The 12,204-nt window shown below is 40.0% G+C and overlaps 1 protein-coding gene across 3 annotated transcripts in view, besides 1 other annotated feature; it reads right to left on the reverse strand.

Annotated features, from left to right (window-relative positions):
- Positions 5,506–5,675: an enhancer, noted in NCBI's record as "experimental_90362 CRE fragment used in MPRA reporter constructs". NCBI's record gives its function as "activates a minimal promoter by MPRAs in K562 erythroleukemia cells, with activity observed for the introgressed 6:137463794 variant allele {active_cell/tissue: K562}" and the evidence as "EXISTENCE:reporter gene assay evidence [ECO:0000049][PMID:34662402]".
- Positions 6,754–12,204, reverse strand: part of IL22RA2 (interleukin 22 receptor subunit alpha 2) — a 29,825-nt gene continuing 24,374 nt past the window's right edge. For 2 of the 3 annotated variants that reach the window (NM_181309.2, NM_052962.3), the window contains 2 exons: positions 10,656–10,825; positions 6,754–8,707 (listed from right to left, as the gene is read on the reverse strand). In NM_181309.2, the coding sequence (NP_851826.1) occupies positions 8,558–8,707; positions 10,656–10,825 (320 nt within the window). In that variant the 3' untranslated portion in view covers positions 6,754–8,557. The remainder of the gene's footprint in view (positions 8,708–10,655; positions 10,826–12,204) is intronic. The other variant, NM_181310.2, reaches the window with a different exon arrangement.

A 12,204-nucleotide genomic window follows, 5' to 3' on the forward strand; every position in this document is an offset into this window, starting at 1 on the left:
CCTCAGAAATAAAAAGGATCATAAGGGACTATTGTGATCAATTATATGCCAGCAAATTTGATAACCTGTAGGAAATGAATACATTCTTAGACAAATACAACCTACCAAGGTTGAATCAGGAAGAAATAGAAAGCCTGAATATAATAATAAACAAAGAGATTAAGGTAGTTATTAAAAACATCCCAACAAAGCAAACCCAGGACCAGTTGACGGCTTTAAAGCTGAATTCTACCAAACTCTCAAAGAAGAATGAACCCCAATATTTCTTAAGCTCTTCCGAAAACAGAGCTGGAAGGAGTACTTCCTAACACATTTTATGAAGCCAACATCATCTCGATACCTAAGCCAGGCAAAGATACCACACAAAAAGAAAAGTAAAGGCCAGTAGCACGGATGCACATTGATGCAAAAATCCTTAATAAAATATTAGCAAATCAAATTTAACAACAGACCAAACATATTATACCTCATGATCAAGTGAGACTTATCCCTGGCATGGAAGGCTAGTTTAGCATATGCAAGTCAATCAGTGCAAGTCAATCAGTGTGATACATAACATTAACAGGTAGAAAGACACAATCCACATGATCATATCAATAGATGCAGGGAAAGCATTCAACAAAGTTCAACATCTTTTTTTGATAAAAACTCTTAACAGTTTAGGTATAAGAAATTTCCTCAACATAATAAAGGCCATTTATGAAAAACCCACAGCTAGTATCATAATCAATGTGAAGAAACTCAAAGCTTTTTTTCTAAGATCTGGTACAAGGCAAGGATGCCCACTCTAACTTTTGTTCCACATAGTACTGAAAGTACTCTCAAGAAATAAAAGGTATCCAATCCAGAAAGAAAGAAGTAAAATTATCTCTATTTGCAGATGGCATGATCTTGTAAGTAGAAAACCCCAAAGACTCCACCAAAAAACTATTAGATCTAATACATGAACTCAGTGAAGCTGCAGGATACAAAGTCAACATGCGAAAATCCATGGCATTTCTATCCACAAATAGTGACCCAGCTGAAAAAGAAATCAAGAAAATAATCCCATTTATGATAGTATCAAAAAAATGCTTAGGAACAAAGTTAACCAAGGTGGTAAAATACCTCTACATTGAAAATGATAAAACATTAATGAATGCAATTGGAGAGGACACAAATAAATGGAAAGATAGTCCATGCACATGGATGAGAAGAATGAATATTGTTAAAAATGTCCATACTATCTAAAGCAATATATAGATGCAATGCAATCTTGATCAAAGTCTCAATGTCATTCTTCACAGAAATAGACAAATCCTAAAATTTGTGTAAAATCACAAAAGATCCTAAATAGCCAGAACAATCCTGAGAGGAAAAACTAAGTTGGAGATATCACACTTTTTGATTTAAAATTATGTTACAAAGCTATAGTAATCAAAATAAAATGCTACTGGGAAAAAATGGACACATAGACCAGTGGAACAGAGTAGGAAGCCCATAAACAAATCCAAACATATATGGTCAACTAATTTTTGACAAGGACATGAAAAAGGAACAATTGAGGAAAGGACAGCCTCTTCAATAAGTGGTGCTATGAAAACTGGATTTCCATATGCAAAAGAATAAAATTGGACTCTTACCCCATACACAAAACAACTCAGAATGGATAAAAGGCCTAAACAGTAGACCTTAAAGCAAAAAACTCTTAGGAAAAAAACTCAGAGGAAAAACTCCTTTACAGTGGCCTTGGCAATGATTTCTTTTGTGTTTTGGATATCAAGTCAAAAGCTCAGGCTACGACAGCAAAAATAAATAAATGGGTCTACATTAAACTAAAAAGCTCCTGCACAATAAATGAGACAACAGAATGAAAAGACAACCTACAGATTGTGAAAAAAAAATTGCACACTTTATATCAAATAAGGAGTTGATATTGAAGATTTATAAAGAACTCATACAAATCAATAACAAGAAAACATATAACCCAGTAAAAAATGGACAAATGACTTGAATAGACATTTATCTAAAATGACATAAGAATGGACAGCAGATACATTGGAAGTATTAGTTGAAAAGGTGTCCAACATTACTAATTATCAGAGAAATGAAATTAAAACCACTATGAGATACCACCTCTCACCTGTTAGGATAGCTGTTATCAAAAGATAAAAGATAACAATATTAATGAGAGGGAAAAAGGAAGCCTTGTGCATGTGGGAATGGAGATTGATGCAGCCATTATGCAAAATAATACAGAGGCTCCTAAAGAAATTAAAAATAGAACTACTATATGCAGTTAATCTTCTGGGTATATACCCAAAGGAAATAAAGTCATTACCTCGTGAAGATATCTGTATTCCTATGTTAACTGCAGCATTATTGACAATAGCCAAGATATGGAAACAAACTAGATGTCCTTCAATGGATAAACTATGATATGTACATACAATGGAATATTATTCAGCCTTTAAAAAGAGGAAAATGAGGAAATCTTGCTATTTTCCACAACATGGATTGACCTGGAGGACATTATACTAGGAGAAATAAGCCAGAGACAAAAAGAAAAATATTGTATAATTTCACTTATATGTGGTATTCTTCCCAAAAGATCAAATATATAGAGAGAATGAAACAGGGTTACCAGTGCTGGAGTCTGGGAGGGGAGAATGGGGAGATCTAGGTAAAAGGTTACAAAGTAGCAAATATATAGAATAAACAAGTCAAAAAATGTGTTGTACAGCAACATGTGGATTAAAATTAATAATAGTGTTATATACAGGATTTTTTCTAAACTAAGTATATTATAGCTGTTTGCCACAAGGAGAAACATGGTATATTAGCTCATTTTGCATTGCTGTAAAGGAATACCTGAGATTAGGTAATTTATAAAGAAAAGAGATTGATTTGGCTCACCGTTCTACAAACCGTACAAGAGGCTCATGGTTCCACAAACCGTGCAGCTTCTGCTTCTGGTGAAGACTTCAGGAAGCTTTCAATCATGGTGGAAGGTGAAGGGAAGCAGGTGTGTCGCATGGTGAAGGGAAGCAGGTGTGTTGCATGATGAAGGTGGGAGCGAGGGCAAGGGGTGAGGTCCCAGGATGTTTAAGAACCAGCTTTCATGTGAACAAACAGAGCAAGAACCCATTCATTACTGCAAAGAGGGCAGCAAGCCATTCATGAAACATCCACCCCCAGGACTCAAACACCTCCCACCAAGCCTCACCTCCAGCACTGGGGATCACATTTCAACATGAGGTTTGGAGGGGACAAACTATATCAAATGGTAACTGAGAAGATTAATAAATTGTTCCACTATAGTAACCATTTTACTACACACATGCATCTTATAACATCACGTTTTATACCTTAAATATACACAATACAATTTTTTTTTAAAAAAGCTAGTTAGATATGGAATTTACCAATGAGTGAATGTTTTCCAGTAATTGTGTAGACTTCAGAGCTCTTTCTGGCGAGTACATATGGCCTCCAACTTAATAAGGTTCGACTTAAGGTTTTTTGACTTACGATGGATTCATCAGGATGTAACCTCACAATAAGCTGAGGAGCATCCATATGTACCTCCATTCATGCTGGATAAATGGATTCTTTTTTTTTTTTTTTTTTTGAGACACAGTCTTGCTCTGTCACTAGGCTGGAGTGCAGTGGCATGATCTTGGCTCATTGCAGCCTCCGCCTCCCGGATTCAAGCAATTCTCCTGCCTCAGCCTCCCGAGCAGCTGGGATTAGAGGTGCATGCCACCACACCAGCTAATTTTTGTATTTTTAGTAGAGACGGGGTTTTGCCACGTTGGCCCGGATGGTCTCAATCTCTTGACCTCGTGATCCGCCCGCCTCGGCCTCCCAAAGTGCTGAGATTACAGGCATGAGCCACCGCGCCTGGCCAACAAATAGGCTCTTTAAGGCACTGCTCTTCTTTGTCCCTGAGAGCAGACAGCCACCCACCAGCTGAACAGCTGCTTTATCAGGCCTCCCTGTCCCATGCTCTCTTAATACTCACCCTTCAACATACTGACATTAAAGGGGAAGAAGAGTCCCAGAGTTCAACAGGGCAAAACTGACATTTGAAAAAGGAATTTTAATTAAGAGACTAAAGGGAAATCTCTATGTACAAAGGCTGAGAGGAAGTTCTAAAGGGTCTGATAGAAAGAGAATAAGCTGTGGAATTAGACAGATATGGTTTCCAGACCTTGGCAAATCACTTAACCCATCAGAGGCTCACCTGTAAAGTAGAAACAATCATGACTTGTAGGCAGTATGAAGAAAGAGAAAACAGAGTATGTGCAAGTGTCACCTTGGGCAGGCCAAGGCCTAAACCTGATGAGAAATATGCCTGAGGAAACTACCGTCACTGTATCCTCTCTCACAGCCAGTTTGCAGGATTGCGGTGAGACTGTTTGTCACCATTTGCTTGCTCCTGTGAGCAGGCAGACCTTTGGCGAGATCCCTCAAAAGATGGGTGAGGGAGAACCCAGGGGCTGCAAATCCCTGTGAGGATGGCAAAGAGGGCCTCTCACCTGCCAGAGCATTATTCCAAGCAACCGGCAGTAGCCACAGCCCTGTCTTCACAGGGGAAGGTAGGGACTGGGGGTGCTTAATCCTCACTAGGAGCTGTGTGTTCCCTATTGAACCATTTCTCCAGATTTCTGTATTGCATCTTGTGTGTCCATTAGAATCTTTCCTTCGGTCTCATTGGCACATGAGAAGTTAGCTCTCTTCTGTTGCCCCTTCCCTCAAACAACTTTGATCTAACCCCAGGTAAAATAGGCTCATCTGCCTATAGGGTGTATTAGTCAGGGTTTCCTGAGGGACAGGACTAATAGGATAGATGTATATATGAAAGGGAGTTTATTAAGGAGTATTGACTCACACAATCACAAAGTGAAGTCCCACAATAGGCCGTGTGCAAACTGAGGAGCAGGGAAGCCAGTCCGAGTCTCAAAACCTCGAAAGTGACAGTGCAGCCTTCAGTCTGTGGCTGAAGGCCTGAGAACCCCTGGTAAGCCACTGATGTAAGTGCAGGAGTCCAAAAGCTGAAGAACTTGGAGTCTGATATTCGAGGGCAGGAAGCATCCAGCAAGGGAGAAAGGTGGAGGCCAGAAGACTCGGCAGGTCTGTTCTTTCCATCTTCTTCTACCTGCTTTACTCTAGCTGCGCTGGCAGCTGCTCAGATGGTGCCCACTGAGATAGAGGGTGGGTCTGCCTCTCCCAGTCACTGACTCAAATATTAATCTCTATTGGCAACATCCTCATAGACACATTCAGGAATAATACTTTGCATCCTTCAATCCAATCAAGTTGACACTTAATATTAACAATCACATAGGGCATCCTGGTTTTTCATGGTTTTATCTACTTGCCGCAACATTTTAGAGAAGACTCTAAAATTCTTTTTTGTCAATGTGAGTCTTTTTTCCATACCCAATTTTACTCCCTCTCTCCTTTTGAAGAAATTCTGGGACAGGACTTCTGGACTTGACCACCAGCCAGGGAGAAGAAACAATACCTAGGAAGTGACACTCAGTTGGAGGAAGAATGATGATTATAGAATAACTCTCTGCTGTGGCACCAGGACTGCACGAGATCTGGTCTCTGCACATCTTGGTGTCTGCATCCTGGTAAAAAATGGCCCCCTTTCCCACACCTACCCATGGAGGAAGATGAGGCAGCAAGTTGTAAGAAATTACCAGAAAAGCCTCACTCCTGATCTCCTGACCCACCCCCTCATGCTCTCAGTGCTTCTACTCTTGCTTCATTAATTTATCCAACAAATACTAATTGTCGGCTAGGTACCAAGTTCTGTTATAGATAATGAAGATATGGCTGTGGAAAAAGAACCAGAAACCTGCCTTTACATTCTAGTGGAAGAGGAGGAAGATAAACAATAAACAAGGTCAACAAGTAACTACAGCATGTCAGGTGATTTAAGTGCTGGGAAGGAAACTGAGTGGTATAGATCATTGCAGAGGGTAGGTTGCAATTTTAAATGGAATAGTGAAGTTAGCCTCACTGATAAGGCAGTCTTCCAGCAAAGATCTGACAGAGGTGAGGAAGTGAATCTATGGAAACCTGGGGGTACAGCCTTCCAGCAAATAACAGGTGCAAAGGCCCAGAAGCCTAGGGCATTTGTATTTGAGGGCAAGCAAGGGGTCTGTGTGCTGGAGAAGAGTGAGGAAGGTGAGAATTAGGGAGTGAGGCCTGGGAGATTATGAGGAAAGGAAACAGATCATACAGCGCCTTGGAGGCCATTATAAAGACTTTGGTTTTTACCCTTATGAGATGGGAAGCTATTGGCGGTTTTAGAGCAGGAAAGTGACATGATCTGATTTATGTTCCAAGGCTCATGCTGGCCACCTTGTTAAGACAAAACTGGAGGGAGGCAAGCAGAGCGGGGACACCAATGAGGTAACCATAGTGACCATCCAGAGGAGAAATGATGGTGGCCTGGAATAGGTAGTTCTGAGAAGTGTTGTATTTTGGAGGTAGATCAATAGAATTTATTGGTGCATTGAATATATATGATGTGAAAGAAAGCGGGGAGACAAAGATAACCTCAACGCTTTTGGCCTGAGCAGCTGTAAGACTGGGATTGCATTTGATCACAGGGCAAGCTCAGTCGGGCTCAAAACTGTTTGCTCCTTCCTGGCTGGAACTTCGTGTGGGCCTAAGATGTTTAACTGGAATTTCATCTGGCAGACTTAAACATTGTGTTCTTCTTTTAAAAGCTCAAATAACAAATATTCCAAAATGTAAAGCAAAAAAAGGATTTATTGAAATCATGTGACAATATATCCCTAACACCATGAAGAAGATGACAATTATGATTTCCATAGAGTATTTTGCACTTGCCTAAGCACAAAAGCAAAAACAGAGCAAGGCAAACAATATACAAACAAAACTTGATCCTATCTAATAACTTTCATGAAACAACCATAAATGAATTTTGTTTTATTAAGTCAGGCTTCAGGACTACTGAATTGCATTCACTAAAATGCTATTTGAAATTTTACTTACTCGCCACCCACCCCACTACTCTTAATTCATCGCCCTCTCCACAAAAGGACAAAAGGCAAAAAAGGTAGTAAGCAAAATATAAATAATAAGAATTCAAAAACAGAGATCAAAGTAAATTTTTTTTTCAGTCTCTGCGTCTATGCTCAAATCAATGTTTTCTGAGCATACAGGGAAGCAAGGAAACCAATTCTCTAGCTCTTGCTCTGCCTCTTATTCTCCTCCACCCCCCAATACATTTCTGAATATTTTTTAATCCATTTATCACTGAGTACTTGCATATAACTAGAAGCACCGACTATATTGTTATCAACTTTGGAGCAATTTTCATGGGGAATTGTACAAATGTTCTCTGATATGTATCTCCTCACTAGAAAGACAACCTTAAACATATATGAAGACTTAGCCTCAAGTGAAGAAGGCAGCTTTCTGTTGACCACACTGAGCCTTAGGTCACCAGATTTCTACTCAGGAGAGGCAGTGAGCAGGAGGGGCCAGTTTGGAGGGCTTTGTCTAGCTCTATAGTCTCTGTAGGCACCTACCAACACCGGTCCTTCTCCTGCTACCCACTGTGTGCTTCCAGCTTCAAGCTGAGTTCTCTGTATGGGGTCGACCCCAGCAGTTCCCAATAAACCATCATTCATGGGATCCTCCTATATAGAGATGAGGAAGGCGCCACAAGCAAGACACTCTTGGCCAGAAGGATTGAGTAATGAGGTTTCCTTTCTTCTTTGTCACTAAAAAAATTACATTTAATTTTGAGAATAAAGATAAGTTCTTCTAAGACAGGATTAAAAACTAAACAAAACAAAAACAAACAGAAAAGAAAAGCTTAATATATCTTTTAAATGAGGGACAATTGTACAGAGCAGACTTCCTTGTTGTTGATAGTTTTAATTCAGATATCAATCCAGAAATCATAAGATTTTTTTCCCCAAAACCTGTTCTTATTTACATAAAGTAGACTTTAAAACAAAATTTTGATTCATTAAGTAGAAATATTTAATAATAATAAATATATAAAAAGTATATTCATATAAAATAGAAATGTATGAAAAATATTCACCTTTATAGAAGTTTTAAATTGTCAAAGCAATGTCAATTTAATTGGCTCAATAAGAGAGTGAAAAACCATTGCTTCAGGACCGCCTCAGTCTGTAATGCTATTTTAAAAAAATTATTTCAACATTTTCTTAAATACTATTCCTTGGTTGTTAAATTTTTATTTTGCTGTATTAGAAGAATGAAGGTTGTTATTAGGGATGTTACATTCAGAAATAAAGTTCTGAATTTCATAGAACACTTTATTCTCTGCCTCATCTTTACATTTCAATTTTTCGGGGGGAATGTCGTTCAAATATAGTTTACAAATGAAATATAAAGGATAAAAGAATGGATAAACAAAGAAGTCCCCAAGGTGTAACAGTGAATATTGCTTTAAGAAAATACAAAAACAATTTTAAATAAGATCCTTCAAACACGAGTCATCCTGTTCTCAGGGAGCTTTAGAATTTCCACATTGCTGAATGCCAAATTCCACAAGTCATGGAATTTCCACACATCTCTCTTCACTTCTCTGACTTCTTCTGTCTAACATGGGCTGATATATTTCAGCCACTACACAGTAGCTGGAGTGTGGTGTTAGAGCTTCAATTTCAACCGCTCTGTGAGCCCCTTCATAAACCTTTTGCTCCTACACACGAGAGAGAAAATAATCAGTTGGTAAATGGCTGCCATTAAGTCACAGCTGCATTTTTGTTTAAATTAACAAGTTGTACATGGTCACAGCAGTAGATGGGTTGTGGGGTTTCTTCCCAGACACATCCTTCTTTTCTAGAGTCCTAGGCCATAGCCTGGTAAAGGGACAAGGCAAGTGGCTGTGTAGGTGCAACTTGACTTCTCCTTGAGGGCTGTTGGCTGGTTGACCCCATGGTCAGAGTCTTGTTTTTAAGAATTTTGTTTGTTTTTTGAGATACAGTTTCACTCCATCATCCAGCCTGGAGTGCAGTGTCACCATCTCGGCTCACTGCAACCTCTGCCTCTCAGGTTCAAGAGATTCTCGTGCCTCAGCCTCCTGAGTAGCTGGGATTGCAGACGCATACCACCACGCCTGGCTAATTTTTGTATTTTCAGTAGAGATGGAGTTTCACCATGTTGACCAGGCAGGTCTTGAACTCCTGACCTCAAATGATTTGCCTGCCTCAGCCTCCCAAAGTGCTGGGATTACAGGCATGAACCACCCCACCTGGCCTTCTTTTTAAGAATTTGAAGTGTGCAGTGAGAATGATGTGCAGCGAGATGAGCAGAGATAACTGCAGGCATGAAACTGTGGCCACATAGAGACAGAAAGTCTGAGAGACAGAGCAGGATCCCTTAGAACTCACTTCCGTTTCCCTTCCCAGTCACCACTAAGGCTGCCGGCACTCTACGTCCTGCCTCTGTCCCTGAGATTGCTTGCCTATCTCCTAATTATCCCTCCCCTCCTCTTTTGTTTCTAAACAAGTTAAACTGTGGTTTCTGCTCCTTACGACAAAAACCCCTCATCTTAGATGGCACCAAAAAAGGAACAAATTCAATTATCCACCAAATCCAGACAGAAGCACCGATGGTGGATTAGAATACCACTGCAAGGCCAGGCCTGGTGGCTCATGTTTGTAATGCCAGCAGTTTGGGAGGCCAAGGCAGGCAGATCAGTTGATCCCAGGAGTTTAAGACCAGCCCGGGCAACATGGCCAGAGCCTGTCCCTACTAAAAGTACAAAAAAACATAGCTGGGCATGGTGGCATGCACCTGTAGTCCCAGCTACTTGGGAGGCTGAGGTGGGAGGATCATTTGAGCCCAGGATGTTGAGGCTGCCGTGAGCTGTGATTGCACTGCTGCACCCCAGCCTGGGTGACAGAGTCAGACCCTGTCTCAAAAAAAAAATCGCAGCAAAACTGGCACAAAAATAATCATGTGATTCAAAAGCTATTTTAAAATAAGGTGTGAGGCCGGGGAGGTGGCTTATGCCTGCAATCCCAGCACTTTGGGAGGCCAAGGCTGGAGGATTGGTTGAGGCCAGGAGTTTGAGACCAGCCTGGGCAACATAGTGAGACCTTGCCTCTACAAAAAAAAAAAAAAAAAAAAAAAAAAAAAAGCTGGATGTGATGGGCATGCTTCTAGTCCCAGCTACTCAGGAGGCTGAAGAAGGAGGACCACTTAAGCCCAGAAGTTAGAGGCTACAGTGAGCTATGATCACCACTGTACTCCAGCCTGGGTGACAGAGTGACACCTGGTCTAAAAATAAAATACATAATAAATAAATAAATAAATAAATAAATAAATAAATAAATAAGGTGTGCAAAGCCCGTAAAAATGAATATTTGTGGCAGTCACATGCAATTAAATACGGTTAATACCAATCTTTAGATATGCAGGGAAGACTGTAGAGACAAACCGGAGGATGGAAAGGGCACACACACATTCTGATGGTGATGCCACCACCAACCGTTGATCAATGATGGCTGAGAGTAAGAAGAAATTAAAGATAAGGAAAAGTAAGAGGAGGCAGAGTAGCAGAAGAGGACATCTCATATGACCACAATATTGGTTAAATAAACAAAAGAAAAAAACTCTAAATATATCTATTCATCTGAACTTACCTTTTCTAGTGAATTGTTAATTATAAAAACTCGGTATAGTAGTTCATAGTAATCTTCTATAGATACATTTTTTTCCTTTTGGTATCTATATGGTAAATTTGGAGCATGGAGAATTACCAACAAAGAGCCATTGACTTGGGTTATATTCATGACTGGAGGATCTATTTTTGCTGAAGAAAAAACATAAAAATTTGACAAATCATCAAAGGAATGTATTATATACAGACGCATTATGTATAATGACAAATCAGCATGGTGGGAGGATCACCTGAGCCCAGGGAGGCCGAGGCTGCAGTGAGCTATGATCATGCCACTGCACTATAGCTTGTGTGGCATAGTGAAACCCATGTCAAAAAACAAAAATAAAAAAGAAAATTGCATATGTATTTGAATCTCGAACCTTTATAAATGTAGGGAGTGTTAGATTCTTAGCAGAATAAAGATGGAAACATACAAATTACTTTCCTCTGTTTATTGGAAGGGCTTTTCTTAATCTGACTTTTGTTTGTTTGTTTGGTTGGTTGGTTTTGGGTTTTTTTTTGAGACAGGATCTCATTATGTTGCCCAGGCTGGGCTCAAACTCCTGTACTCAAGTGATTCTCCTTCAGCTTCCTGAGTAGCTGAGATTACAGGTGCATGCCACCACATCCAGGCTAGTCTGACTTTTTATTGACAGTGTAGCCCTTGGAGGTTCTAAGACTTTTGTAGGGGTATTAGTTCTAACTCCCTGCCTTGTGCTGGCCTAAAACCTTGTCTTTTGTCCTGGGAGTGGCTGTTACCACTTAGGGTCTAGTTACCACATCCAGCAAATGCCTTCAGGGCAGCTGGGGCAGTCACTGTGTTGGTCTTCTGGTTCCCCTTTGATTTCCGTTTACTTTGTTTTGGCCCCCAAGGATTCCCTTTATTTTTATTTTTGCCCCTCTGTGGAGTTTGGAGAATGTGTTTTATCCAGAATTTCTAAGTGTTTTAGAAGAAGAGAGTTTCCTACTCCCAGGCTATTTAATTTGGAACCATAAGTTTTTAAAGCACTTTCCAACTATATTGGAATAATGGGATAGTTAACTTTAAATAAACATGTCCCTTTTGTAGTGAGGCACATATTTCAGGCATTGTCCTATCAGTGAGTCAGCTGCGGACATCACAGGGCTCCTGGCTTATGATCTGTGATGCTAGATTTTGCAATTGATTGCAAAATCAGTTTTGCAATCAGTTGCAAGTTTCTTGACCCATTCACTGGATTGTGATTGTGTTACAAGACCAAGTCAAGATTATTTGACCTCATAGCACTTTACTCTTTAACAGCTCTCTCCTTGAAATATTACCTTCCCGCACTATTCATGAACATATCAGCCCACAGATTTCCTCCTACCTCTTTGGCTATTCCTTCTCAGTCTCCTTTTAAGATTTTTCTTACTCAGGCATCTTTGGGTGAAAGTCCCTCAATATCTGGTCTTACTCAAAACTGCCTCTCACTCACTACTCTCTCCCTAGGCAATCCTATCAATGTCCACTGTACTGTATGCATGAAATGACTCACAAATTTTTGTCT

The sequence above is a fragment of the Homo sapiens genome, chromosome 6, assembly GCF_000001405.40.
Source record: "Homo sapiens chromosome 6, GRCh38.p14 Primary Assembly".
NCBI lineage: Eukaryota > Metazoa > Chordata > Mammalia > Primates > Hominidae > Homo > Homo sapiens.